The following is a 27,131-nucleotide window of genomic DNA, read 5'->3' as shown; positions in this document are numbered from 1 at the left end:
CAGTCGGTCCCCACTCAGCCTCCTGTCCCTGTGCAGAGGTGGGGAAATGTCTCACTCTGTGGATCTTAGGTGTGCCCGTGGCACTGAGGGCTGCTGCAGGCTGGGGACTCTGCAGACCTCATGCCTTCTGCCTATCAGCACCCCCGTCCTGCTAGCACTCTACTCTACAGAGGACAGCTTGTCCTATCTGCCCGGGTACCAGCTCCGACATGGGGGACAGACCTCTCCAGGCCCCTGTTGGCCTGCTGCCCACCCCTGTCCCAGGCCTCCGTGCACCTGACTGAGGAAGTTTCTCTTGTTCTCTCCAGCCAAGAACCTACACGGAGGAGGAACTGAATGCCAAGCTGACCCGGCGTGTGCAAAAGGCAGCTCGGAGACAGGCCAAGCAGGAGGAGCTTAAGCGGCTGCATCGAGCCCAGGTAAAACCATGGAGGATGGGACCAGGGCACATGCATGGGAGGGTTGGGCAGCATCTCCCTATCCACCCAGCTGCTCCCTGCCACACAAGCACAGTGCAGAGCAGAGCAGAGGTAGACGGGCCTCCCTGCCACCCAGGTCACCTTTGGCTGGTGCAGCCACAGAGGCCCTGCCTTGGTGGAGCTGTCAGTCAAAAGGGAAGAGCAGGCTGGGCGTGGTGGCTCAATGCCTGTAATCCCAGCACTTTGGGAGGCTGAGGCAGGCGGATCACTTCAGGTCAGGAGTTCGAGACCAGCCTGGCCAACATGGCAAAACCCCGTCTCTACTAAAAAAACAAAAATTGGCTGGGTGCGGTGGCTCATGCCTATAATCTCAGCACTTTGGGAGGCCAAGGCGGGCGGATCACAAGGTCAGGAGATTGAGACCATCCTGGCTAACACGGTGAAACCCCCGTCTCTACTAAAAATACAAAAAATTAGCCAGGCGTGGTGGCAAGTGCCTGTAGTCCCAGCTACTCGGGTGGCTGAGGCAGGAGAATGGCATGAACCCAGCAAGTGGAGCTTGCAGTGAGCCGAGATTGTGCCACTGCACCCCAGCCTAGGCGACACAGAGAGACTCTGTCTCAAAAAAAAAAAAAAAAAAAAAAAAAATAGCCAGGCATAGTGGCGGGCCCCTGTAATCCCAGCTATTTGGGAGGCTGAGGCACGAGAATCGCTTGAACCCAGGAGGTGGAGATTTCAGTGAGCCTAGATTGCACCATTGCACTCCAGCCTGGGTGAGAGGGCGAGCCTCCATCTCATAAAAATAAAAATAAAAAAAAAAAGGAAGAACCCTGCATTGAGTTTCCCGAATCCCTTGTTGTAGAATAATCATTGTAAGTCACCTCATTCAATTGTGAGGACTGTCACCAGGAGTCCATTTGTGGCCCCTCAGCCTCTGATAGGCCTGGGATTTTTGTGGGAAGAGGTCAGAGGTCAGAGCTCTCCTCCCATTCTCCAGCTTGTTTTCAGGCTGCACAGACCCTGAATCTAGACCACTGTAGATTTCTATTGTTTTGTTTTGTTTTGTTTTGTTTGAGACGGAGTCTCACTCCGTGGCCAGGCTGGACGCGCAGTGGCGCTGAGCTCACTGCAACCTCTGCCTCCCTGGTTCAAGCGATTCTCCTGCCTCAGCCTCCCGAGTAGCTGGGATTACAGGCCTGTGCCACCACATCCAGCTAATTTTTGTATTTTTAGTAGAGACAGGGTTTCACCATGCTAGCGAGGAGGGTCTTGATCTCTTGACCTTGTGATCCGCCCACCTCAGCCTCCCAAAGTGTTGGGATTACACGGATGAGCCACCGTGCCTGGCCTTCTGTTTTAAATTTTTATCGTAAAGATGGGATTTCCACTGCACTCTTCAGGAACCCCCTCCAGCACTCTAGCAGTCTTGCCGTGAGAACAGTCTGAGGTTCTGGTACTCAGGCCCCTCCTGCCACAGATTACATCCACTTCCTGTCTCTGCAACACTCCTGGGAGGGTGGTCACTACTTGAGTCACGTCCACGCGCTTTGATGCTAACTAGCAAGGCCCGGAGCCTGGCGTCTACACAAGCTAGGTGGTTCTGGTGCAGGTGGTCTCCACGCCACACCCTGAGCGCACCGCCCACAGACTAGAGCCCTTTCCAGAGCGGCAACTCCTGTGTTTCCCCTCGTGTGGGTGTGGAGTTGTGTGTCCTCCTGAAGCAGGGCTGGAGAGCCGGGTGCTCAGTCTGTGCTGTCTGTCATAGATCATCCAGCGGCAGCTGCAGCAGGTGGAGGAGAGGCAGCGGCGGCTGGAGGAAAGGGGCGTGGCTGTGGAGAAGGCGCTCCGGGGCGAAGCAGGTACTGCCGGGCTCCCTCCTAAGCTCTGCTCCTGGAGGAAGCCCTCCCTCCCGCCGTGGTAGGCTAGTTTTGCTTCACCTCACCTGGAATTCAGCTCCTTTTCCAGCAGGATTTTCTGGGGCCCTTCATCTCTGAGATTTGGGGCTTCCTGTTAAGCAAAAGAAAATACCTGTCTGAGACAGCCCCAGGCCCATCCTGCTCCACAGCCCCTCTGGGCTGCCATTTCCCATAGAGTGAAACTCAGTCCCCGGCATGCTGATGGCGAGCGCTGGCTCTTCCCCCTCCTTCCCACCCCACCATTTACTCTAGGAGGGAATAACTGGGAGTGAGGGAGATTGAACCGCAAGGAACCATCACAGAATTGCACTGAGCAGGTCCCCAGCCTGCACCCCCAGACCCCCTCATGTCGTTAGTTCCCTGGGACCCTCCTGCCCACAGAGCCCTCAACACCGCTGGTCGGGGAGCATGTGGCCACCCTCGGCACACACAGATTTCCAGAGGGCACCCAGGCCCTGTGTCTGCTGAAGGCTGGTCACTTAGGGCAGGGCTGGAGAGGCTCAGGGTATGTGACCAGCCGACGTGGAGCAGACTCCGGGGAGTGGCTGGCAGGGCCCTGTGCTCGTGACTGCTGCTCCTGGCAGGGAAGCCCTGGAGAATGTGGTGCGCTCATTCCTGCCATTCCATCCAGGGAACCTGCGCGGCTGCGCTCAGCATAGTTGGGCACAGAGAATGCAAGGGAGTGCCTGAGGCATCTCTGGCCCCACGGCCCAGGAAGTCCTATTGGTTCAGGACCTTGAAGCTGCAGGACCAGCCCCGGGGGTGCAGTGGCCACTCTGCCTTCTCAAACATCCACAAATCTTCGTCTAGTCTCTGGATGGGGGAACTTCCGTCTCTTTATAGCCTGCAGGTTCAGCGTTTAAATTGTGAGCTGGGGATGAAGAAAAGGAGTATCCTCTTACTTCCTCACTCTAGTGTGGCAGAGGGGAGCAGGGTGCCTCTGCTGACAGGCAGGCTCTCTGTGAAATGGACGAACTGGGAGGAGGCGGCCAGGAGCAGGGCCAGCTGCTGCCATCTGATCTTGCTCAAAGACTGACCCATGGGCTCATGGGAAGTGCCTGGTGTCAAGATGAATTCCTGTGGCCTGTAGGACTGAAGTTTGTGTGGTGGGGAGTGAGGGAGTCCAGAATGGAAGTAGGTCTCCTTTCCCAGGCCCTTTAAGGCCTGGAAATTGCAGCTTATAGGGCTACTCAGTGATGACCTTCAGTCAAAGAGATGGGATGGGGAGAAAGGTGAGGATGTGGATGTTCTTGGTTTGGGCTCACCTGATGCTGTTAATGCATGAAGTCCAGGCTACCAAAGGAAATGCAAAAACTTGAAGCACTTAGCATCCGATAGGCTGAGACGACTGGGATGTGTTACTGTGAGACAAGCACAGCAAGGAGATTTGGGTTCACCTAAGAAGGTCTGAGGTTTCCCAGCGAACCTGCGGTGCCCCTGCCCCCCTGCCCTGCTCTGCGCACTCTGATTTGGCCTCCTCAGTTAAGCCTGAGCCCAGATGGAGTTGGCCCCAGCCCACCTGTGCCCGACTGCGTCCGGGCCTATGGGGCCCTGCCCTCGTGCCATTTCTCTTCTTGCAGAAGATATCAGGAGAGAGCCTAGGCTCATCTTCATTCCTTCTTGCCCTTCTCCACAAATCACTTCTGCCAAGATGGAAAGCAGTGGATTAGATCTCAACACACAGACAGAATAACCGCATTTCATGGTTTAAGCCCTTCAGGAAGAAGACAGCTCCCTGCCCTCCTTACTCATGAGGTTGAGGTGGTGGTGCCATCAAGGTTGGTGGTTTCCGTAAAGCACTTGAGCGCCTGTGGCCTCCGTGAAGTCTGAGTGTAAAACAGTGCTTCGACGCCCCTGTCACGGGCCCTGTTATTCAAGCTTCTGCCAAAGGGCCGGAAAATAATATACCACTGAAGATTGGCGTTAGGGTTTTGCCAGAATTATTTCTTCTAGTCATTAGATAATCACATTTCCTCAAACATACACAACCCAAATGCCGTCTAAGTCAGTGGTTTTCAAAAAACTAGCAGCAGACCTCTTTTCACAAGATGATAAGTTCAAGTTTAAAATCAAAAAGAATTACTCTCAAATGTTAATAATTAACACAGATTTGAAAACACAGGTTATAGCAGAGAGTGGTGGACATGACCAAGCCCCGGCATCCAGCCAGTACACACAAGAACTGTAGTTGCTATAAGTGACAACATGGTTTTTTTTATTTGGTTGGTTTTTGGTTTTTTTAACAGCTTACTTGGAAATCTCAGGATTTCTGCAGTTTAAATGATGTAGACACTAGAAGTTTAAAATGAGGCAAGAGCTTTTTTTTTTTTTTTTCCACAGTTGGATCACAGCAAATCTAACAGCAGTTCCTATTCCTCATGACAAGCAAGTCTCAAACAAGAGGCTCCCAAACAAAGTAAACAAAAACCCAGCCATGCTGTAATACCGCAGCAAAACGTGTTACCCACCTACATAAAGGGACTCGCTGACAGGCGTGCGTGCTGTCAGTGAGCTGTAGCTCTCCCGGACAGACCCTGAACGGTGGCAGGTGAGCACTATGCTGCAGGCCAGAATTTAAATAAACAAATGAATAAAATGTCCTCTTCACTAACACATTTACAGGGAGTTCAGCCACTTACACACAGAGAGAGGCGGAAACTTGATCCTGAGGGCTCCACAAAATCAAGCTCACCTGGCAGCACAAATTATTGGGTTGATGGTCTCCAGTGGGTGAAAAGTTGGCATATAAAACATTTGGGCCGGGCGCGGTGGCTCACGCCTGTAATCCCAACACTTTGGGAGGCCGAGGTGGGCGGATCACCTGAGGCCGGGAGTTTGAGACCAGCCTGACCAACATGGAGAAACCCTGTCTCTACTAAAAATACAAAAAATTAGCCTGGCATGGTGGTACATGCCTGTAATCCCAGCTACTCGGGAGGCTGAGGCAGGAGAATCGCTTGAACCTGGGAGGTGGAGGTTGCGGTGAGCCGAGATCACGCCATTGCAGTCCAACCTGGGCAACAAGAGCGAAACTCTGTCTCAAAAACAAAAACATTTGAAGGTGGTGTGTCTTATTTTAATAAGGGCTCTTGAAAGAGCTACAAGTATTTGTACATCAGGTATTTGGGAGACCCCTTGGAATGCCTTTGGAAGAACCTTAGGGTTCCACAGAGGCTTGAAAACCACTGTCGTAGTGCAAACTCCTTCCTTTAGATGAGTCTTCAGCAGATATCTCTATCCAAAGATGTTTCTGTTCTGTTTTTCAAGATGGGCCTTAGTAGCTCTGTTGGGATATTTCGTTGTGATGCATTTGAGAAACTCTCTGGAATTTTCAGGAATTATGGTTCCTACCATAAGAATATAAGAATTTCCAAATATGTTCCTTCTCTTACGTGAATACATCCCTTCCAAGCTGGTCTCCCATCACAGTTCCCCGTGGCCCTGCCCCTCCTTGGCCGATGCCGTCTCTGAAGCCCAGGTGTGCGTGCTGCTGCTGCTTTCTCTCCTGCTTCTGCGTCCCGTTCCTCTTCTTAGTCTTGTGGCACCTGGCTGAGCCCTGAAGAAGGCAGTGGCAGCTGGGCATGATAATAATCTGGAGTCTTCTCATCATGGCAGTCTGCCCTTCCCTGGGGACTGTAGTAAACTGGCTGGAACCTGCCATCATCTCACTTGGGGGTCTCCAGCTTCCATCACCGTCTGAGGGCGTCAGACTTTGTTAGCCAAGCTGCCTTTCCAGAGAAGCGCTCTAGCATGGACCTGCCATCCCGTTCTCCGTTTGTCTAAGGTATGACGACGTATGGCCAGGCTGCAAGGATTAGCTTCAGCACCTTTGATCCTAGGGCCAGGCCACAACTTAGGTAATTTCCAGTCCTGGGGCACCTGGGAAGCCTTTTTGTTACAAAAACACTGACTCAGCCTTGAGCATGCATTGAAAAACTGGGGCAGGACCGCATTCTACCACTGTGTCTGCTGTGTCACTCTCAAGGGGAGGCCCTCAGGTGGGACCGGAGGCTGTGAGGATCTGCATTCAGAATGCGGGGTTTGGAGAGAGGGCAACACCATGGCGGCCGAGTGCTGTGCTCTGTGTGTCTTTATGATTCTGGGGAGATGAGGACCGCCTGCTCAAGCCCAGCCTCTCGGCAGTGCCCAGTCTGCATCTCAGGCGTGGAAATTACATAGCGCTCTTGGCCAGACAGCTGTGGAACTACCAGGCTAGGAGTGCCCCAGGCCAGCACACCTCCAGGAGCCTTCGGCCGAGTGCCTGGGGGAAGAACTCTGCATGAGTCTCTGCTCGTTTCCTGTTGTTAAGAAGGCCGACTGAATTTGGAGGCCTAAGCCTCGAAACAGGATCCCCTTTCTCTCAAACCCATTCGGCAAAAGTGGGTCTGCAAGGCATTTGATAGAGTCAGCAGTGGGGTCGTGGGAATTCCTGGGAGAGCACTGACTGCACGAAACCTAAGGATTTCAGAGCTTCTGTAGGACGTTTGCCTCCTGCCTCCAGGCCCTCAGCCTGGGGCTTCCAGTATCAGCAACTGACACGCAGGCAGCCCCGCTCTATTAACTCTTAGTTAGAGAAGGTTCAGTCCCAGGGGCAGGAGTTCCCAGCAAAGCCAAAGCCTCTGTCCTGGCTGATCCCTGGTGTACGTGGGATCATGTTGATAGTGACCATTGACTCCCCACAGTGAGTTTTAGTTACCGCCCTCCTCCCGCAGCCACGCAGTATGCAGATACGGCATGTGTGGACATGCAGTATGTGATGCACTTAGGCACGCATGCCTTCCAGCCGTTCCTCTGCCGCCTCGCTGTGTCTGTGTTTCTTGCGCTCCATATCATTGATTGCTCCATATCATATCATTGATTGGGTATGGGGGGACAGGAGGACTACCTGATGGAATAACTCTCTCTTCACCGATTCCTTGTTGTAGACTATTGGGGAGAGTCTTATTACAGTGACCTCATCGACTTGCATCTGGGTGGTATGTATGGCAGCGCCTGTGCTGACACTAACCCCGCTGACGCCCTTTCTCCACCCACGCTTCCCAGTCCCTGCTCACAAAAACAAGGAGAAATCAACCCAATAACCAAATGGCAAAAGCACAGACCCTTTTCCAGCTCAAAACAGAGCAGCGTGCTGATCTCCCCGCTGCCCACATGTGCTCCAGAGGAAGATCTGAGCTTGCTTTTGCTGCCTGGGGTCGTTTTTAATTTTTTATAATAAAACTTTGCCCACCCGACTCCACCAGCCTTGCATCTGCGTCCTGGTCCCCTAAATACACACACTCCAACACAGCTTTTGCCCTGAATCTCATCCCTCACTGCTTGTAGGAATCATATCTGCTAGGGAGCTCACTGCCTGCCACACTTACGCAAAGAAGCAAACATGCCAAGATCTCAGCCCGACCATTTTCACTGGGTCGTGGTCTCGTTTCTCCCAGAAGAGCTGAGTGCGAGGGAAAGGCTTCTCTGTAGTGATTTCTGCCCGGAGTCACCAAACTCAAAGCCAGGTTGACGGGTGCCCATAACAACGTCCCTCCCTCCTTGCTCTGTCCTGGGGCTCACTTTGTACTTCTTTTCAGTGAAGACAGGAAAAGCTCCAGGCCGTGGTTCTCAAAGTGTGGTCCCTGGACCAGCAGCAACATCACCTAGGAGCCTGTTAGGAAGGCACAGCCTCAGGCCCTGCCCCAGACCTGCAGAATCAGAAACTCTGGGGTGAGGCCTGGTTATCTGCTGTAACAGACCTTCCAGTGGGTTCTGATGCCCTCTAGAGCAGGAGAACCACTAGCTTAGAGGTTGCAGTATGTTTGGCATCTTGCCATTTGTGTTAGTTCAGAGGAATGGCTGACCCCCATGTCTCATTTCTAAGCTTCAGGCAGCTTTTCTCCTGGGCAGCTGTCATTCTGTTGAGGGGAATCCTGGGGACTGTGGCTCCTCCTCCCTGTCCGTGTGTCCTTGATCTGGCAGTCTACCCCCTTCATCTCCCCGTGGAGGCTCCATGCCTAGAGGTGGTCTTCAAACAGAAGAATGGCAAAGATAATTGTCTCGTGTTTTACCCTGACCCCATTCCTTTAAGAGGGTCACTTCTTGGCCCATTCATTTAAAAACCAATGTCATAGTTCTGTGATTCCACCTATCAGACAGTGCCACGTCCAAGGCGGGGCTCTCACCTCCCTGGGAAGAGAGACTGTTGCTGTCTGTGCTTCCTGTGTTCTCCAGTCCCACGCTCCCACGGACCCACGCCCTTGGAGACTCCCTCAGTGTCCCAGGGCTTCTGGTGTGTTCAGAGACCTCCACACTCAACGACCACTGGTGCTGCAGAAGGGCCGGTGCTTACATTCCAATTAACAGACGCTTTTCCCATCTAATGCCTCTTGCCTTCTCCTAACACCACCTCGGGAGTGTTTATGTCTATTCTAAGTGAATTTCACTGTGTGAAAAAATTCACACCTGTTATCCCAGCAATTTGGGAGGCCAAGGCAGGTGTATCATTTGAGCCCAGGAGTTTGAAACTAGCCTGGGCAAGATGGTGAAACCCCGTCTCTATAAAGAAATTTTAAAAATTAGCTGGGCATAGTGGCACGTGCCTGTAGTTCCATCTACTAGGGAGGCTAAGGTGGGAGGATCACATGAGCCCAGGAGTTTGAGGCTGCAGTGAGCTGTGATCGCAGCACTGCACTCCAGTCTGGGCAACAAAGCAAAACCCTGTCTCTTAAAAAAAAAAAAAAAAATTGTTTACATTCAGAATCTCCTGGAAGGGGCCGTCAGAACGCGTTTCTTTAGGATTGTATCCACACTTCCCTCCCAGTTCAAGATGCCGGTAACACACCATCGCATCTCCTGCTTTCTTTGTTTTTTGGGTTTTTTGTTGTTGTTGTTGTTGTTTGTTTGTTTTTTTTGAGATGGAGTCTCGCTCTGTCGCCCAGGCTGGAATGCAGTGGCGCGATTTTGGCTCACTGCAAGCTCCGCCTCCCGGGTTCAAGCGATTCTCCTGCCTCAGCCTCCCGAGTAGCTGGGATTACGGGTACCCACCACCCCACCCAGCTAATTTTTGTGTTTTTAGTAGAGACGGGGTTTCACCATGTTGGCCAGGCTGGTCTCCAACTCCTGACTTCAGGTGATCCGCCCGCCTCAGCCTCCCAAAGTGCTGGGATTACAGGCCTGAGCCACCGCGCCCAGCCCGCATCTCCTGCTTTCTTTACCCGCCCTTGCTCGAGTGAGAAGAGGTAGTGAGCTGCTTTCTCCTCTGGGTTCCCGGACTGCAGCTACTAGCTTTTTGGATTTAGAATTCCAGCAAGTTCCAGGGGGAAATGAAATAAATAGAAAAAGGAAACTCAGGAGGCCGGGCGCGGTGGCTCACGCCTGTAATCCCAGCACTTTGGGAGGCCGAGGCGGGCGGATCACGAGGTCAGGAGATCGAGACCATCCCGGCTAAAACGGTGAAACCCCGTCTCTACTAAAAATACAAAAAAATTAGCCGGGCGTAGTGGCGGGCGCCTGTAGTCCCGGCTACTTGGGAGGCTGAGGCAGGAGAATGGCGTGAACCCGGGAGGCGGAGCTTGCAGTGAGCCGAGATCCCGCCACTGCACTCCAGCCTGGGCGACAGAGCGAGACTCCGTCTCAAAAAAAAAAAAAAAAAAAAAAGAAAAAGGAAACTCAGGATGCCTTGTGAATCACACAGTGCCCCACCACTGACACTCATAACCCTTTGAAGGTGGGCTCATCAGCTCATCACTTCCCCTTTCCCAGACCATTATGCTGCGTAAATTCAAGACTTCTCGGGTTCTGCCCACCACGTGGGGGCTGCTGCTTGAAGGGGACGTTCCCCACTGCAGGGAGTCTCTTGTGGACTTTAGGCCCTGTTCTCGCCACGCCCGTGAGGACGACGGCAATGCCAGAATTAGGTTTCTTTTCTGTTTCTGCTCTTGTGTCATTCTTAGAGCACTTAGTAATATTCGTTAATTGGAGGGAAAATCACCCTTTTGAGATCTGGAGCCTCATATGTAAAACCTGGTTGCCCTTGCCCCTCTGTGCCTGCATCCCCAAAAGGCCACCCCGAAGCCCCATTTCTGTGCCATAGCACCCGTCTCATTTCTCCCATGGGCAGAGCAAAGCTCCAAGCAGCCCTCGGAGCATTGGGAATGCCACCTCCTGTCCAGAGGGGCCGACTCCTACCCCTGCCCTGTGCTCTGTGTGTCACGCTCCAGGCTCTTTCAGTGGCTCTCAGTGAACTACCTAAAGGCTCTGAAAGTTCCTTTTTTCAGCCACAGAGTATAAAGAATGAAGATTTCCCTTCCTCACATAGCTGGACTTTGTGATTTCCAAAGAAATCATTAAAAAGACTCAAAACAACCCTTGGACCAGAGAGGAAGGGTCCCCAGGTGGCCACTCCCCTTCTTTCTTCTGCCCTGGGACCCTGAACAGGCCGGCCCAGCCTGCTTTATTGCACTAGAACAGACAGATGACTGGAAATCTAGAAGAAAACCACATTTCTTCTAAAACTGATTGAAAATACACACACATAATTTCTAGTTTTCGGGGACCTCATCTCTTGATTTATATGTCTCAAAGGAAATTTAAAGAACACAAAAGGTTTAGAAATGTAACATGAAGGACTGGAGGTGGCCTCTTGCTGTTGTGAGATGGAGGTGCAGGGACGCCAGCCCCTGCCCTTCTGAGCAGCCGTCTTCCTGTTCTCTCTGCTTCTCTGAGTTTCATGTTGATAGGTTCTTGGTTTGCCTGACCAGTCCACCATCAGCTTGGTTCTGCTTTGCTTAGGAACTTTGGAACCTGCGAGGTTTCCCAACGCGTGTGTGTGTGTGTGTGTGTGTGTGTGTGTGTGTTTTAGAGTGAGGTTTCCCAGCGCGCGTGTGTGTGTGTGTTTGTGTGTTTTAGATTGTAATTCTTACATGCATTTGTTTGGTTTTTTGCCTTCACTTTTCCTCCCAACCTGGAGCTTTATCTCTGCATTAAGTCTGTGTAGCACCAGGTGTCTCCCAGCCCCACTATGTGTATGCTAGACTGGGCCTGCCGGACCAGCCTCACCCTGTCATGACAGCTGCTTGCATGTCTGCAGTATTGCACACCAGCCAGCTGGGACCCCTGTCAGGGCCATGGTGTTTGTCATCGCCCGAGGTTTTAGACTGGACCTCAGCCTTGCAGTGCCAAGGCTGCCCCAGGCCAGGAGCATGGCATTGGTGGTGCCCACCAAATAGGCTTCCTGGGTTGGGGACTCAGAATAGCCGAGTGCCTTCTTAGTCAGCAACACATTTGGTCAGTCTTCCCTCACACTTCCCAGGCTGCATAACCTGAGCAAGGCAGAGTGGAAAATCTACGGTGGCCCCACTCCGTAAACCTGAGCCGCCAAGGAATTCCAGCCCTGAGCACTTTGCTTTGTGAAAGTTTTTGAGACAGGGTCTGGCTCTGTCACCCGGGCTGGAACCCACCCAGTGGCGCCATCTCCACTCACTGCAACCCCCACCTCCCGGGTTCAAGCAATTCTCCTGCCTCAGCCTCCTGAGTAGCTGGGACTACAGGCGTGCGCCACCACACCCAGCTAATTTTGTGTTTTTAGTAGAGACGGGGTTTCACCATGTTGGCCAGCCTGGTCTTGAACTCCAGACCTCAAGTGATCCACCTGTCTCGGCATCCCAAATGCTAGGATTACAGGTGTGAGCCACCGCACTTGGCTGCTTTCTGAAAGTTTAATCCAGTCAGTTGGGCATAGCCATGACAGGTAATTCCCCTTGTGTTTCCCAGGAAAAGGTGACAAAAGCTCTTTGGTGTCTCCGACAGGAGTTCAATAAAAAGGCATTGCTCTGGCCGGGCACGGTGGCTCCCACCTGTAATCCCAGCACTTTGGGAGGCCGAGGCGGGCAGATCACAAGGTCAGGAGATCGAGACCATCCTGGCTAACATGGTGAAACCCCATCTCTACTAAAAATACAAAAAATTAGCCGGGTGTGGTGGCGGGCGCCTGTAGTCCCAGCTACTCAGGAGGCTGAGGCAGGAGAATGACGTGAACCCGGGAGGCGGAGCTTGCAGTGAGCCGAGATCGCGCCACTGCACTCCAGCCTGGGTGACAGAGGGAGACTCTGTCTCAAAAAAAAAAAAAAAAAAGGCATTGCTCCAACACTATTTATCATTATAATATTTATGTTATTATTTATAGTGGTACTATAGTTAGCAGTAAATATAGTGGCATCACCGCCAAAACAAGTGTGAGAAATGAGAGTCCAGAGAGTCCACCCTGGTAAGCTAAGGGCTGCACGTGGCTGCCCAGAGAGGCAGGAAAGTGGAGCCTCAAAATATGCCTGAGAATAAGCGAGCCTCTTTCCTGTCCCTGACGCCTTGGAGCGTGATCCTCAGAGACCAAAGGGAACTGAAAACCAAAAATGATCTCTATCTACGCAGGATGTTCCAAAAGTGTGGCTGAAAGGGGAAGACGTTAACCTTGGGGCTCTACAGAGTTTCTGTGTGCGTGAAACACACAACAGCATATCAGAAGGGAGGGTGTGGGGCCAGCCTCCACCTCTTGAAAGTCTGGTATTCTAAAACGCTTGCAAGCTGATTATTTGGGATTCTGTATTTTCACGTGGAAATAGAGTTGTAAATGGTGGCTCGGCTCATAAAAAGCCCATTTTCCTCATTACACCTCTGTGTGTGGTACTAGTCTGGTGACACTCCAGGACCTAACCCGTGTTCCCTGGGGAAATGCAGCATTCCAGGCTGGGGCCTCTGGGCTCTAGAAGTCTCCCTCATTGGCCCTCTTTTGGTCTGCTGGACACTGCTTTAGGGACCTCCCCAGCTCTGTGGTGATGGTGCCTTTGTCCAACCAGGGGGAGCTGGGAGCCTGTCTAGTGGGCAGAGGTGGATACCAAGATGAGGCAGGTCCCCGGGGCCAGTTGTCCAGCAGGCCTGGAGGACGGCCCGCCGACGTGCCTGCCCGCTGTGGCTGTGCCCACCTCTGCGTCCTCTGCTGGCTGCCACGTGGTTAGCGTTGGTGGCCGGTGCGTTTGGGGTGCTCAGTAAACATTTCTGGCATAAATTAGTAGTCTCCCGCATCATCCTTACCACAGGCCATGATTCATGTATGATATTGCTGTTTTTGATATCAGCATCCATGTAGAAGCCAGTGGGTCAAATAGAACCAGGCAGAATTGAATGATTGAGTCGGAAATGCAGAGCATCAAGCCAGCACCCACCGCCACACAGATTGTCACTGGTGGTTGTCGGGCTATGAACAGAGTTGGGCCTTTGTCTTGGCCCCTCTGGGCTATTATTACTTATTTATTTATTTTTTAGAGATAGGGTCTCACTCACCCAGGCTGGAGTGCAGTGGTGCAGTCACGGCTCTCTGCAGCCTTGACCTCCCGGGCTCAAGCAGCCCTCCCACCGTAGCCTCCTGAGTAGCTGGGACTATAGATACTCACACTACCACACCCAGCTAATTGTTGTAGAGACGGGGTCTCACTGCATTGCCCAGGCTGGTCTCGAACTCCTGGGTTCAGCAGTCATCTCACCCTCACCTCCCAAAGTGCTGGGATCACAGGTGTGAGCCCCCGTACCTCCGAGCTTTCTGACCGCATCCTCACTAATCCTTGTGAGCAAGGCACTCAAGCCTCTGCTCCCCAGTCTCAGGGCTATGGCTCTTGGATTTCGAGTACCAGAAGGACTAAGGTAGGCCCTGCCTGCCTTCCAGATGACCATCTAGGTTCAGTGTGTGGGCTCATCTGCTTGCTTGTTTTTCCAGCTGCCCGGGTGTCTTCTTGATGCAGTGTGCCAAGGTGAAGAGTCTTGGTTGGAGAGAAGGTGGGAATATAGAAGTACAAGTACAGAGAAGGGGACCTGCCCTACAGCTGGCCACTCTTTCCCCCACACTGTTGGCCATTCTACCCCACACTGGGTCTTGGGCCCATGAGAGGCAGGGCCTGGAGTGAGGTGCTCGGGTGCGCCAAGGGCCAGGTGGTAGTGTAGGGGGTACCCCGACTTAGGAAGGCCAGGCCTGGATTCAGGTCCTGCCTTCACTGTCTCCCCAGGCACAGACAAAACAGACTCTACTTACCCTCTCAGGGCCTCTTCAGAAGACGAGGCAGGAAGGGACATCGGGCCTCCCTTCCAGGTGTGACATTCTGATCAGGGTCTGTGGGACTGCTCTTCCTTGAGCTGCCTGAGACGCCAGCATTTGTTACATTTGCCTGGAGCCTGTGTTGAAGAGGGAAAGCTCTGAGTTCAGAGTGGGCAAGAAGATTTGGCTTCTTTTCCAGGCTCTGCCACACTTAACTCCGTTGAGCCTCAGAACCCTCATTTGAATTTGCCCATCCTGGCAGCCACACCTGGCCGGTGTGAGGATCACGTGGGTGGTGCATGCGAGGGCGCCCTGAAGCCGGAGAGTGCCATCCGTGCCCATCTCATGCGCTGCTCTGGACAGGCCTCACTCCCTGGTGGTGTACTGTTGCTTTTTGAAATTTGGTGACAGGCACTGCCTGCCCGCCAGGTGTCAAGCGAGTGGCACTAAAGAGCCACCCCTGGGTCACACGTCCAAAGGAAGTGCTGCTTCAGAGGGAAAGATGGAGCAGATGTGCCCCCGAGTGTTGGAGACGCAGCAGAGTGCTCCAGGGAGGAGGGGTCCTCTGACCAGGACCCGCTCACTGCTCGGGAGCTCAGGAGGGGTGGCCAGCGCCCAGGGCACGCAGGAGTGCTTTGAGAAGTGGTAAATTATAGCACCTGTTAGCAACAGATGGAAACCCGTTACCCTGATGTTGAGAAAAACCAAAAAACTTCCATTTGCCAGAAGCTTGACAGCATCTTTGTTCTTAGAACCAGTGAACCAAGTCTTCTATTTCTTACATCCCCCTAAAAGGCAAAGCATTTACTATAAACCCCCCACCCCCGCCCCATGCATGCTCAGTCAGGTTCCAGTCAGGTGGAACTCCCCTTGTTGGATTGGTTTTTCCCTTCCACTTCTTCTTTTGAAAATTGTATTGATTGGGCATTTTTTCTGATTATAAAAGTAGCCTCGCCCGTTGTGGAAGTGTGGAGCGTACAGGGAAGTCCGAAGGTAGCGGCCCCGCAGCGCAGCTCGGACTCGCCGGCCGCTCACACGCGCTTCTGCCTCTTGCTAGGAGAAAGCCTTTTTGGCTTCTTTAAATGCTTGCTTTACCTGATGCTCCCTTTTTCTAATTTCATTTCCTAATTCTGTTCCCAGTATTCTGTTATATTGTTCTCTGTGTTGGGAAGGGCGTATGAGGATGTGGCCTACATAAAAACAGCTGAAAGCTGTATTTTGTGCTGTCCAGAAAGCAGAAACACGTGTTGTAATTATTACCCGTGCAGGCGCCTGCCTCTTCCTTTTGGATGTGTTTGGTTGTGTATCACATGGGCGCTGTTCCGCTCCACAGCATGGCCTATTCACCTGTGACACCAGTCCCAGGAGGTGGCAGGGACTGTTCACTGACGTATTTGATGGGATTCATCCAGGTGTTCCAAGCCTGAAGACAGACTACACTTTGAAGCCGAGGTTGACTGTAGGTCGGCTGTAAGGCAGAGTGTATTGTTGAGGAAAGAAATCCTCCCTCGTACCCATGCATTCGGCCGGCTGTGCCGTGTGTGCTTAGCACATTGGGTACACTCAGCATTTCACACGCATGCACACTGTCCCTGGCTTTGGTTTTGAAGTTGTACCCAATAGCAGATTCAGTGTGCCCAAGGTACGCCACGCTGGAAGGGTTCAAAGACAGAAAACACCTGTATTCATGCAGCTGCACCGCTGAGCGGCCTCTCAGCCAGCTCTTTGTCTTGTTGGCCTTCTGTTGAGTAAAACAAGGCCATTTCTTCAACCCTGTTCTCTCTGTAAACCACACACTGCCCTCCCCGCGGGCCGAGGCCCCGTGTCTTCCTGGGCTCTGTTGTCCCTGTGTGTGCTCTGTGGTTCTGTGATGGTCCCTTGCCAAACTCCTCTCCCTCGTCCTTGAGTAGCCATCAGACCCCAGATCTAGAGATGTCTCTCTGCACACTGTCTCTCGATGCCCCGTCAGCACTCCTCCCAGCATCGTTCCTGTAAGTTTTGGCGTGTCCTGTCAGCTCACCCCTTTGGTCTCACAATCCAGAGTGTGACAGCCCCCAGCTGCAGCATGGGGTCCCTGCACAGCCATAGAAGGGCCAGAAGGAAAGGGGGTGGTTGGCTCTCCCTGTTCCTGGGGGAGAGAGGGGACAGTGACACGGACGGGTGGAAGTCACCTCTGTGTTTGTACATTTCCCCAAAATTGTCCTGGCTCAGAATTTGAAGGAGCGCAGGTGTGAGCGTCCTGGAGGCCCGTCACCGGATGGCGTGCTGCCCCCACAGACTCAGAGGCCCCTCCTTGCCCTGCACTTGTCAAGGCCAGCTTTGCCTCAGGCACATACCTGTGGTGACATCTTAGAGGATTCCACGTGGGTCTGGGAGGTGACCCCAGGTTGTCACCTGCAAGCCTGGAAGCCATGTTGGCCACTTATTGAATGCAGTCTGTCTCAGAGCCAGGCAGACCTATCCAGGGGCTTTGAGGAGGGGGCCCAAGGCCCCAAAGGCCCCGGTATGACAACCCAGATGCCACTGCCCTCCTGATAAGGAGTAGAGGCAGGAGGGCCCTGTGGCCCGAGTGCTGCCATCATTGTGTAGGGAACACATCATCCCTCTTGGAGGAATCCACACTGTGGCTCTGGCCCCCCGCCCCCTCTGTGATGCTGCCAGAGCTGGATCTGCTCTCGTTCAGTTCCGTGCTGAAAAAAGGACTTAATTCATTTGTAGACTTTGTTTCCCTTGTTTCTGCTTCTCCATTTCTTGTATTATTTTCTTTTCCTCCTGTTGTTCCTTTCTCACTTTTTATGCTTTTTGTCCTCTGCTTGTTTTTATTCCACCTTCTCCCTGTCCCTCTCCACTTCCAAATTCCTGCTCCTCTCCTCCTCTTCCTTTTTTGTCTTTCTCCGTCTCCTCCTCTTCCTTGCTTGGTCCCTTTTGAAGTTGAGCCCAGTGGCGGGACTCCACGACGTAGACCTCTCTCCTTCTGCCCTTGCTGTGTCCAGGAAGGTAACGTAACCTCGCCAACCCCATCCCCACTGCCTCGGAGGGGGTGTAGCAACACTAGTCAAACACAGAGCCAGAACCCACCTACCTCTCTCTCTTTCTTTCTCTCTGACCCTCAATAGTCCTGTTACAAAATGTCATGAGTCTGTGGCAGTTTCTAAAGGTACAGTATCCCTTTGACTGTCTATGGGGAGGACCAGGGTGCAGAGTAAAGCCAGAGAGCCTCCAGGTCTGGGTCCTTCAGGGCTGCAGCATTGGCTGGCCCTTCGTGGCTGGGGCTTTAAGTCTCAGATCCATCAGATAGAGGGGCAGGCATGCAGGTGAGGAGCCTCCCGCCTGCGTGCAGCGATTTGGATGGGAGAGTCAAGGAATACTGTCCTTACAAAGACTGATCTACACCAGTGCCCTCGGGCCCCTTTCCAAACAACCACTGAAAGCAAACCTCTCTACCTCGTGTCTTGCTGAGTGTGCGTGTTTTAAGTTTGTCTGATTTGAAGTCTGTTGTGGTGATAAGATTGTCGTTGAAAGGCATGTGGGGGGTGTGGCCGTGACTAACCCTGCTAACTCTTACCTGCCGTCCACAGCGCTCACCCGACTCTCGCTCACACACCACAGCCCCTGCCTGGCGGCCGTGGGCGAGCTCTCCATAGCTAGTGAGCGCTGTCCGCACGTCTCCGGTGGCATTTTCTGTATCTTCGTGGGGAGGTGGGCAGCGGGAGAGACTCCCTGGTGCCGCCGTGGCCGGGCGCACTGGACAGCTTGCATGCCTCGGGCCCCTCCTCCACGGCCATGTGGGCACATTGTGCAGAGACGCTCCGAAAGCAATGCATGGAACTGAGTGGGGGCTGGCTTAAAGGCCAAAACCCAAGCCTATTGGATTGGGTGAGGAGAGCGCTGGTCCCCTGACCCTCAGGCACACACTCCACAGTTGCAGGCTGGACAGGCTGGGGGGTTTCCGTCCTTCAGAGGAGGCTCAGGGGCAGGAACCCCCTTGGGAGCAGAACCGCATGTGCACTAGGGCACAGTACAGACACTAACCCCTGCTTGTTGAACATGGTGCATTTCTGCCTCCTTGGTGTGGCCACTGGGTAGAGACTAACTGTCTAGCAGACACCACTGCAGATAAGAGGTGTGTCTGTGTACCGTGTGCCAGAAAGGCAGGTGGAGAAAGGCAGCTAGCAGTGAGGGAGGACTCGGGCTGTGGCTGGCCCTTCTGAGGCTGTGTTCCTCACACTCCTGGGCTTGTCTTAACTGGCCTAGAACGCCCCCTGCCAAGGGACGCAGAGAGTGCAAGGGCCTCTGAAAGATGTCCCCGTCTAGTGCCCCTTAACCTGAGGCCCATGGATGGACCCCAGGAAGCCCAGGAGCAGCTTGGAACTCTGCATCAAATGGTTTGCTCTGCACACATAAGCATTTTTCTAGGAAGAGAGTCCCTAGCTTTTATGAGATTCTCAAAGTGGTTTGTAATCCAAAAATATTGAAGAGCCACTGACACAGCATGTATTTTAGGCAGGACCACACTTTTGCCATGAACTTCTGTGCTCCAAGGAAAAGGACCTTGTTCTCTCGTTGGGTGGCTTGGTCCCTTGGAGACTTCTTCCTTCTGTCCTCCTGCCACAGTGAAGCCCAGTGGTCAGGCCGTCCCTGGGGGAGGTTTGGTATCGGCACCTGTTGGTTCAGGCAGCCTGAGCTAGCAGGCAGCCACCAGACACAGGCATTCTGTTGGATTGGACCAGGGCAGGGCGTGGCCACCTCCTTCCATCCCCAGGGGCTGCTAGTGTTTCTCTGCTCTTGGTGAGAAACCCTGCGGCCATCCTGAGATGCCCTGCATCGACCATGCGGGATCCAGCGGGAGAGCATCCGGAAGCTTGATAGGCCACAAGTTAAGGGGTGGTATCTTCTCTTCCTGGTCAGGAGGTAAACAAATGGACAAGGCATCTATTCTGGTGGCCCCTGGAGAGGGGCAGTAGCCCAAGAAAGAGCTGAGTTAAATGAGCATGACCTGAGGGCAGGGTGCAGTTTACAAATTCACATTTGTCTCGTTTAACAAGACGGGTTTCCTCCAAGGAGACCTAGTACATAGCAAGTGCCAAATAAACATTGAGTGGCAAAAAAGAGGGAAAGCAATGTAAGTCATCCTAAGAGAGCACACAGAGCAGGAGGGGTAGAAACCAGCCCCGGGGAGGGCAAGGTCCCTGCTGGCGAGGTCGCTGACGGGGTGAACAGGGATGGCAGGACACGGGAAAGCGCAGGCCCCAGGAAGGGGGACGCCAGGGCCCCATGGCTGCAGGCAAACCTTGGGCCTGGCTTGGGAGTGGAAGTTCCGGCAGCATCTTGCTCGGCCCTCTTTGCACATTTGCCCCGTGTGATTCCTGCGGGCCAGGGTGGGCGCGGCACTCCCTGCACCCGACACAAGCGTTCTCTCGGCAGGCATGGGCAAGAAGGACGACCCCAAGCTGATGCAGGAGTGGTTCAAGCTAGTGCAGGAGAAGAACGCCATGGTGCGCTACGAGTCGGAGCTGATGATCTTGTGAGTGGCCTTGGGTAGGGGGCGTCAGCGCTATGCTTGTCACAGCCGGCATGGAGGTCCTTCCAGATTTGGGGGTGAGGGGTGGTCCCCAGTCACTGTGGCTTGTCTCCCTCCTGCCCTGCCTCCTCAGTGCCCGGGAGCTGGAGCTGGAAGACCGGCAGAGTCGACTGCAGCAGGAGCTCCGGGAACGCATGGCAGTGGAAGGTGAGTGGGGTAAGGCACCCATGGAGGCCAGGGTGGGTGCCACCTCCAGGCCCCTCACCTCATGCCTTCTTCTCCTTCAAGATCACCTTAAGACTGAGGAGGAGCTGTCAGAAGAGAAGCAGATTCTCAATGAGATGCTGGAGGTGGTGGAGCAGAGAGACTCACTGGTGGCGCTGCTGGAGGAGCAGCGGCTCCGGGAGAGAGAGGAGGACAAGGACCTGGAGGCTGCCATGCTGTCCAAGGGCTTCAGCCTTAACTGGTCCTGAGCTCCCACCCAACGCTCCATTTTCTGTTGGCATCCGCCTGGCCAGGCAGTGGCATCCAAACCACCCGGAGCCGCGATCTGAGGAGGCCTGGCACCTCCTTGGAGTTTACGCTCAGATGCCCGTGTGCTGCTTGGAAAGTGGTCGAGTCCCGCGTGCAGTGGGGAGCCCCAGGTGACAGTGGTTATCTGAGACGGCTCCACCTCCTGGGAGGAGGCCCACCTGGACCTCCCACTCAGAGGAGCAGCACGGCGTGTATGGCATGACGCAGGGGACCACCCCGCGCGCTCCCTGAGGATGTGCTGGCTGTGCCCCTTTTTTCCACTGGCACATTTGGTAAGAGAGGGAAGCTGCTCCCCGTCAGAACCACAGTGCGCCGTGCGAGGGGCACTGTCTTCTTCATGCTCCCTGGAGCACCACCAAAGAAACGTAAACAATACCCCACGAAAGCAGGGTCAGGGGTCAGGGTGCGATCGAGACCCAGGATGGGGGCGTCCAGTCATGCCCACCCCAGCATCACAGGAGACATGGAGGTGCGGGCAGGCTCCTGAATTATTATGCAAATTAGGAGGACGCAGGAGGGGTCTGCCCTCCAGCCGAACACCACACACTGGACCCTAAGTGGCCAAATGCCTGGGCCGCTTGCTGGCTGTGGCCTGAGGCTTGTGGGTTGCTGCATTTTGCTTGTAGTTCACAACCATTTTGACACTGGAAAATGCTGACTTTGGGGGACAGGATGAGGCCCTACATTCTAAGCCCCCAGTTGGCAGACAGGCATTGTCCCTGTTCCACATTTATGTCGGGACAGGAGATGACCTTTTCCTCCGTGTTTTTCCTGTGTTTGCACGTTGAAATGAAGCTGACAACCTGGCAAGACGCTCAGCCGCTTCAAACCCTTTTTGTCAATTAACTTATTTTTTAATACTTGAAAAGAAGTAACTTCGTTTGTGTATCTTTACTAGAGGAACTGATCACCTGCGCCCGGGTGCGGGAGCCACAGCGGCATCTGGTGCGTCCTACGCGACCTGGTCCGGGGCTGCCCGGTGCTCCTCACGTGCATCTATTTATTAGCCTTTCTCTTCGTATCACTGGCCTGGCTGGCATCAGGGAGCTGCCCAGAACCCCTGTGTGGGTCCTCCTCACAGCTTTCTGTCCCCTCCTCCACCCGGTGCCTGCCTCACCCTGGCGCTAGACCATCTGGACCACTCATGTGATGAGGGTGCATTTCCGTTCTGTTTTGGGCCAGGCCAACAGCAGAGCTGCCACTCTCACCCTCCCAGTGAGAATTCCGGCTCTGCAGAACTCGCCCTTGTCTCAGTTTGGGGGCCAGGGCATCACCTTCCTCCGCACATATGTTAAAGAAGGTTTCAGGATGGGCCCTCATCCACACAGGCCAAGAGGGTGCAAGGTGGGACCCTGGAATCATGTGGCTGGTGAGAATTCCCTCCTCCCAGCCTAAGATTCACCCAGACGGAAACGCGAGTGCTGCAGTGGATGCTGGGATGCAGGCTGGTGCCTCTCAAGCAGATCAGCGACTCCCGCCCTTCCTTCCGAAGGCGACGGGCACCTGCCTTGTGCCGGATCTTCATGGGGACATAAAGGGCGAGCCCCGAATCACTAGCTCCTATAGCCAAACTGTTCCTTTCTCACGGTTCCGCACCAGCCTGGCTGTGTACAGCTCATCAAGCCACTGAGCTAATCGGGGTGGGGTGCTTGTCCATCAAAGCAGTCAGCACATAGCCCAGCGAGGAGCCATCCGGACCAGACCCGCCTGCCAGGGGCGCTCCAGCCGCCTGCCGCCTCCGTGGGCTGGGGCCAGCTGGGAGCAGAGGCCTGGCCCCTCCAAGGCGTCCCGCAGTGGAGCAGGCTGAGTGGCTGTGCTGACCTTGGGCTTTCCATGGGAACCACACTGTGCTTCAACTTGAACATTCATCCCAGCTGCAAAGGAGCAAAGAACCTGTGTCATCCTTGTCTGTCCAGAAGCTGCCATCTCTCTCCCATGCACATCCGGGAGATAACGCCGCTAGTGGCCGCCACAGCGCTGATTCTCCACCTGTTCTCACGTGAGGCAAAGGTCTCCTTTTCTTTTCTCTTTACTTAAAAAAGGGGAGAGGAGGGTTTCTAGATTCCATCTTCAAACCCCAGTCGTCCCATAAAATTGGACGTGGGAAAAGACCTTCACTGCCTGCGTGGCCTTTCCCAGACCTCTCCTCGAATGCCACAAAACCGGTCCAGCCCCGGCAGAGCCGCCTTCGGCCCTTGTAGCTCCTGCTGGCCCCACAACAGGGAAACAGTTTGCAAAGTGGCTTGGAAGGAGTGTGGCCTAGGGATCTGCTGTAAGTGGCCAGACGTAGCAGGAGAGCCCAGTGTCACCTTCTGGTCCTGGTCAGCCTTAACACTGTGGCATCCTCCACAGCACACACGGCAGCCTGCAGTCTGGAAGGTGGACCCGAGCCTTTGCAGAGAGGCGCCGCAGAGCCGCAGGCCTGCGCCCCAGCCTTCTGCTCCCGACTGTGAGGACACCCAGTTCTAGTAGAGCACTTTTTTTAAAGCTCCCATTTTGTAACCACTAGTTTGCGGTTGACTTGAGTACTCTGGTGACTTCCTGCGTCAAGCGTTCTCAAGCTGTGAGAATGTGCGCAGCTCCAGGCAGGTTTTCTCTCGGAGAGTTAAGTCTTCCCTTGAAGGCAGGGAAGCAGGATGGATACACATATATCACACGCATAAAACACCAGGTGCGGGAGCAGCCCAGACTCAAGGCTGACTAAACTGGAGGCTGAATACCGTGGAGGTCCACATGCAGCTTCCCTGGAGGGCAGGCCGGAGGCGCTCCCGCCCCTGGGCTTGAGGATGCTGCACCCCGTGGGCTTCCAGGCCTGCCCAGATGATGCCTTCAGGCCTCTGTCCCTGGCGGCCATCCTCAGGCCGATTTTGACCAGCAATGATAGACTCTTCTTAACCCTTTCAAAATAAATTTTTCAGTGGGACAGAAAGGAGAGTTAAAAAACATTTTTTTAAAGGTGGTAACATCTGACCCACAAAGGGAATGGGTCTGTTTTATGCAAAATAAAAGTTTTTCAAATAAATAGTGTGTTTCTTAAGTCATTTTACTGTATTTTTCAGGTGGATGGTGTAGGTGCAAGGTATGACGCATCTAGCTCGTGCCTGGGTGCGTGCAAGACGGTTTAAAGAATACATGGTTTTTTTTAAGTTCGTGCTTTTTTTTAGTCCTCCATAATATCCTGGCTCAGCCACAACTGCTGTCACTTGAGTAAATGTCTTAGGCAGCCAAGTTTGAGAAGCAGCCACTCTTCAGACGAAGCCCCAGTAGCTTCTGGAAGGGAAGTGTGCTCTTTGAATTGGAGATACTCTGAGTCAGGGTGATGCTGTGGTCCTGGCAGCCCTCCTTCCAGCCCTGCCTGGCTCTGTCCTGCAGCACAGCTGACCCGGGAGTCCATGGCATGGGGTCTGCAGCACCCACGCCTAAACCTTTCAGATGTTTCAACGATCTCGAGGTCATTCAGTGCGTAGGGTCACTGCTCGTTAGCCTGAAAATTGTCCCCAGGAGATTACAGGGAACAGTCCTGGCCAGCTCCTCTTTCTTTGTTCTAAGAAGCCTCCGAGGCACGCCCCAGCTGTCTCTCTAACCCCTCCCTCGGTGTGTTGCATTGTTGGGAGCACGGCTGACCCTGTGACCATCCAGGGGCGCCATGCAGGGAGGGAAAGACCGCAGCAGCTCTGTGCACGTGAGCCACACCGCCTACAGGCAGCTAGAAGCCACTCAGTGGAAGCTGGCTCCCAGTCCTTCCAGCTGCGTTCCCAGCTATTCCAGAACAAAGAAAGGCCTGGCTGGGACAAATGTGGGCGTGTCAGGTAGAACAGAGGACAAAAATGGATGAGCAGCTCAAAGTGCATATCCTGTGGCCCTAGAGGACATCCCGTACAAGGAGAGCTGGGTCACTTGCCTGTTGGGAAAGGAAATGGGGCTTGGTAGTCACCTGACCCCCAGGCTCTTGTTCCTCAGAAGGGCTTGCTTGTCAGAGCTGCACCAGGCAGCCTTGGGCTGCAGTTCACAGCCACCTCAGGTGGCAGGAAATGATAAGTATTGCTTTAGGGAGGACACCAGAAAGGAAGGCTGCTGGGCCAGGCCAGAGCCACTGTCAGAAGCACACAAAAAGGCCACACGCCGTGGCGCACGCCTGTAATCCCAGCACTTCTGGAGACCGAGGCATGAGGGTCACCTGAGGTCAGGAGTTCAAGACCAGCCTGGCCAATATGGCGAAACCACGTCTCTACTAAAAATACAAAAATTAGCTGGGTGTGGTGGCACACTGGAGAGCCTGAGGCAAGAGAATTGCTTGAACCTGGGAGGTGGAGGTTGCAGTGAGCCAAGATTGTGCCACTGCACCCTGGGTGACAGTGAGACTCTGTCAAAAAAAAAAAAAAAAAAGTATAGGCTCTATCATTTTTAAATTTTAAAAACTATTTTAAAACAAAAAACAAGAAGCTCTTCTTTCATGAACCACCACATCTTTAACAGCTCCAAAGTCCCTCCTGAACCCTGAATCCTCACATAGTCCCATCTTAAGAATCAGCCAAAAATGAAGGGACAAGACATGCCATTTTATTCCATTTTATAAGCTGGCCACACTGGCCCACGTGCTAGACCCTCCCCTCTTCGTGTCCCCTGCTCGGATGACCTCCCCAGTGATGCCCAGTGAGGAGGGTGAGGCCATACCACCCAAACACTGGCCGGGGGCCGGAGCCTCCTGCCGCACACAGCACAGGAGCCTATGAGACCAGGCCCGTGGCCCTCCCAACAGCCTGTGGCTGCTCAGCTTCACCAGGAGCTTTTTCAGCAGCCTCTTCGTGTGCCCCCTGCCCCAAGGTCTTCCTGCAGCGGGGGCTTTGCCGGGGAAGGCAGAGGAGTCCAGTTGCTGTGGGTAGGCCACATGTGCCACAGCCACACTGCCAGAGAAGCCACCTACTGCCAGGACGGAGGAGGAAGACAGTCCCTGTGCTGCACACACAGCCCCTTTTCATGCCCCCGCGGCGTCCGAGCCACAGAGTGCACATCCAGTACTGGAGCAGGCTGTTTCCAGCCGTGGGGCCCAGGGTGGGGCCAGGGTGGGGTGGCTCAGGACTAGGTGGATGGGGCTGAGGGCCTCCCTGGACAGTCAACACCTGAACCGTGGTGAGGCTGCCAGTATTGAGTGGTCCCCAAAGTAGCCAGGGATAGCATCCTCCAGACGCGTAGGTGCGTGTGGAGCTACCTCGCGCAGCTGTGTGACACGAGACTGACTGAAGCTGCTGGTGTCTGCCCACCCACAAGAGGGCGGCAGGGAGCACAAGTTAGGTGAGCACCAGCTCGGTGTCCTGGCGGGATGTGTTCCTGTCTCTTCCCCCGACGTCAGCCTGGTCACAGCACTCACCCGGCCGGCGCCTCGCATTCCTCCCACCGACTTGGGACTGCTGACCAACTTAGGATGGGGGAGCACGTGGGAAGGCTGGAGGTTCCGGAGTCGGGCCCCGTGTAGATGCACAGATGCCTCCTGATGGGAGAACCCTAGGAGGACTCGGGAGGCAGCCCCCTGCAGCTCGAGGCCAGCCTCCCTGTTTCACGAACTTGCTGGGCCCCCGTGGAGTCCGTGTTCCCAGAGGGTTCAGCCGGCCCCATTGCCCCAGCCACCCCTCCACCCAGGCAGCAGGTCAGAGCTGGTGTCCCAGCAGCAGCTCCAGGGACAGGCCACGGGTCCCTGGGTCTTCACAAGGCCATCGTCAAGGATGAGGGATTTGTCCAGATGGGTGCTGGAGTGTCAGCGTTGAGGGGCTGCTCAACCCACAGGCACCCGGCCCAGCAGGCGAGAGGAGCCTCTCAGTGGTCAGCCCCCATGAGTGTCCAGGGCCTGCCTTTCTTTTCTTTTTTCTTTTTTCTTTTTTTTTTTTTTGAGACAGAGTTTTGCTCTTGTTGCCCAGGCTGGAGTGCAATGGCGCGATCTCGGCTCACCACAACCTCCGCCTCCCAAGTTCAAGTGATTCTCCTGCCTCAGCCTCCTGAGTAGCTGGGATTACAGGCACACGCCACCATGCCCGGCTAATTTTGTATTTTTAGTAGAGATGCGGTTTCTCCATGTTGGTCAGGCTGATCTCGAACTCCCGACCTCAGGTGATCCGCCCACCTCAGCCTCCCAGAGTGCTGGGATTACAGGCGTGAGCCACTGCGCCCGGCCCAGGGCCTGCCCCTCTAGCCCCCGGTTGTCTCCCCGGCAGAGTGGCTGCCAGGTCTTTCTCGGGAGAAAAGGAGAGAGAGGCACCTGGCAGCCAGCAGCTCCCTTTCCCCAGTGGGTCTCACTTCTTTTAAAAATGTTTTTAGAGAATTAAATACCTTTCAAAAATGTATCTCGGACCAAACTTGTTCCCTCGGGGGGCTGGGATGCCTTCCACCCGGAGGCCCCAGCACAGGGACCACCTGCCCAGCCAGACCGCCTCAGCAGGCAGCTCCTGCAGGTCCCGACTCTCTCGGCTCCTCCATGGCCAGTCATTCCCGCCCGTCCCCTGCGCTCTGTGTCTGTAGCTGCTAAGTTGCCGCTGCTGGCTGGTAAGAGAATTCTTCCTGTCCTTCCCCTGGTGTGGCCATGTATTTTGACAAGAAAAGACAAGCAGGAAATTGTCTTTTTCCCCAAGCTTCTTGCCCACGTCAAGGGCAGGCCTGCTCCACCAGCATCTGCCAATGCTTTGTTATCT

The 27,131-nt window shown here is 54.2% G+C and overlaps 1 protein-coding gene across 1 annotated transcript in view, besides 14 other annotated features; it reads left to right on the top strand.

Annotated features, from left to right (window-relative positions):
• Positions 1–23,473, top strand: part of MICAL3 (microtubule associated monooxygenase, calponin and LIM domain containing 3) — a 236,913-nt gene extending 213,440 nt beyond the window's left edge. Inside the window, exons 28-32 of the mRNA NM_015241.3 lie at positions 309–419; positions 2,185–2,278; positions 19,821–19,920; positions 20,051–20,124; positions 20,206–23,473. Of these exons, the coding sequence (NP_056056.2) occupies positions 309–419; positions 2,185–2,278; positions 19,821–19,920; positions 20,051–20,124; positions 20,206–20,390 (564 nt within the window). The 3' untranslated portion in view covers positions 20,391–23,473. The remainder of the gene's footprint in view (positions 1–308; positions 420–2,184; positions 2,279–19,820; positions 19,921–20,050; positions 20,125–20,205) is intronic.
• Positions 1,653–2,449: an enhancer, noted in NCBI's record as "H3K4me1 hESC enhancer chr22:18291439-18292235 (GRCh37/hg19 assembly coordinates)". NCBI's record gives its function as "activates a minimal SCP1, AML or CMV promoter by ChIP-STARR-seq in naive H9 embryonic stem cells {active_cell/tissue: H9 hESC(naive)}" and the evidence as "EXISTENCE:reporter gene assay evidence [ECO:0000049][PMID:30033119]".
• Positions 5,471–6,309: an enhancer, noted in NCBI's record as "H3K27ac-H3K4me1 hESC enhancer chr22:18287579-18288417 (GRCh37/hg19 assembly coordinates)". NCBI's record gives its function as "activates a minimal SCP1, AML or CMV promoter by ChIP-STARR-seq in primed H9 embryonic stem cells {active_cell/tissue: H9 hESC(primed)}" and the evidence as "EXISTENCE:reporter gene assay evidence [ECO:0000049][PMID:30033119]".
• Positions 5,471–7,344: a biological region, named in NCBI's record as "MED14-independent group 3 enhancer GRCh37_chr22:18286544-18287743".
• Positions 6,145–7,344: an enhancer, noted in NCBI's record as "MED14-independent group 3 enhancer chr22:18286544-18287743 (GRCh37/hg19 assembly coordinates)". NCBI's record gives its function as "activates an origin of replication core promoter dependent on BRD2, BRD4, P300/CBP and CDK7 cofactors, and independent of MED14, by STARR-seq in HCT116 cells {active_cell/tissue: HCT116}" and the evidence as "EXISTENCE:reporter gene assay evidence [ECO:0000049][PMID:35650434]".
• Positions 6,310–7,150: an enhancer, noted in NCBI's record as "H3K27ac-H3K4me1 hESC enhancer chr22:18286738-18287578 (GRCh37/hg19 assembly coordinates)". NCBI's record gives its function as "activates a minimal SCP1, AML or CMV promoter by ChIP-STARR-seq in naive H9 embryonic stem cells {active_cell/tissue: H9 hESC(naive)}" and the evidence as "EXISTENCE:reporter gene assay evidence [ECO:0000049][PMID:30033119]".
• Positions 10,490–10,759: an enhancer, noted in NCBI's record as "active region_18641". NCBI's record gives its function as "activates an Ori minimal core promoter by ATAC-STARR-seq in GM12878 lymphoblastoid cells {active_cell/tissue: GM12878}" and the evidence as "EXISTENCE:reporter gene assay evidence [ECO:0000049][PMID:35858748]".
• Positions 12,901–12,950: an enhancer, noted in NCBI's record as "active region_18640". NCBI's record gives its function as "activates an Ori minimal core promoter by ATAC-STARR-seq in GM12878 lymphoblastoid cells {active_cell/tissue: GM12878}" and the evidence as "EXISTENCE:reporter gene assay evidence [ECO:0000049][PMID:35858748]".
• Positions 15,241–15,310: an enhancer, noted in NCBI's record as "active region_18639". NCBI's record gives its function as "activates an Ori minimal core promoter by ATAC-STARR-seq in GM12878 lymphoblastoid cells {active_cell/tissue: GM12878}" and the evidence as "EXISTENCE:reporter gene assay evidence [ECO:0000049][PMID:35858748]".
• Positions 15,431–15,540: an enhancer, noted in NCBI's record as "active region_18638". NCBI's record gives its function as "activates an Ori minimal core promoter by ATAC-STARR-seq in GM12878 lymphoblastoid cells {active_cell/tissue: GM12878}" and the evidence as "EXISTENCE:reporter gene assay evidence [ECO:0000049][PMID:35858748]".
• Positions 16,158–16,657: an enhancer, noted in NCBI's record as "H3K4me1 hESC enhancer chr22:18277231-18277730 (GRCh37/hg19 assembly coordinates)". NCBI's record gives its function as "activates a minimal SCP1, AML or CMV promoter by ChIP-STARR-seq in naive H9 embryonic stem cells {active_cell/tissue: H9 hESC(naive)}" and the evidence as "EXISTENCE:reporter gene assay evidence [ECO:0000049][PMID:30033119]".
• Positions 22,389–22,601: a silencer, noted in NCBI's record as "fragment chr22:18271287-18271499 (GRCh37/hg19 assembly coordinates)". NCBI's record gives its function as "represses an EF-1alpha promoter that drives an FKBP-Casp9 reporter gene in an ReSE screen in K562 erythroleukemia cells {active_cell/tissue: K562}" and the evidence as "EXISTENCE:reporter gene assay evidence [ECO:0000049][PMID:32094911]".
• Positions 23,030–26,211: an enhancer, noted in NCBI's record as "VISTA enhancer hs2543". NCBI's record gives its function as "enhancer in: neural tube[4/6] | midbrain (mesencephalon)[4/6] | dorsal root ganglion[3/6] | forebrain[4/6]" and the evidence as "EXISTENCE:transgenic organism evidence [ECO:0001131][PMID:17130149]".
• Positions 24,460–24,509: an enhancer, noted in NCBI's record as "active region_18637". NCBI's record gives its function as "activates an Ori minimal core promoter by ATAC-STARR-seq in GM12878 lymphoblastoid cells {active_cell/tissue: GM12878}" and the evidence as "EXISTENCE:reporter gene assay evidence [ECO:0000049][PMID:35858748]".
• Positions 25,760–25,869: an enhancer, noted in NCBI's record as "active region_18636". NCBI's record gives its function as "activates an Ori minimal core promoter by ATAC-STARR-seq in GM12878 lymphoblastoid cells {active_cell/tissue: GM12878}" and the evidence as "EXISTENCE:reporter gene assay evidence [ECO:0000049][PMID:35858748]".

Source organism: Homo sapiens, chromosome 22 (assembly GCF_000001405.40).
Source record: "Homo sapiens chromosome 22, GRCh38.p14 Primary Assembly".
Classification (NCBI taxonomy): Eukaryota; Metazoa; Chordata; class Mammalia; order Primates; family Hominidae; genus Homo; species Homo sapiens.
The sequence above is the reverse complement of the archived record's forward strand: the minus strand, read 5'-3'. Positions and strand labels throughout refer to the sequence as shown.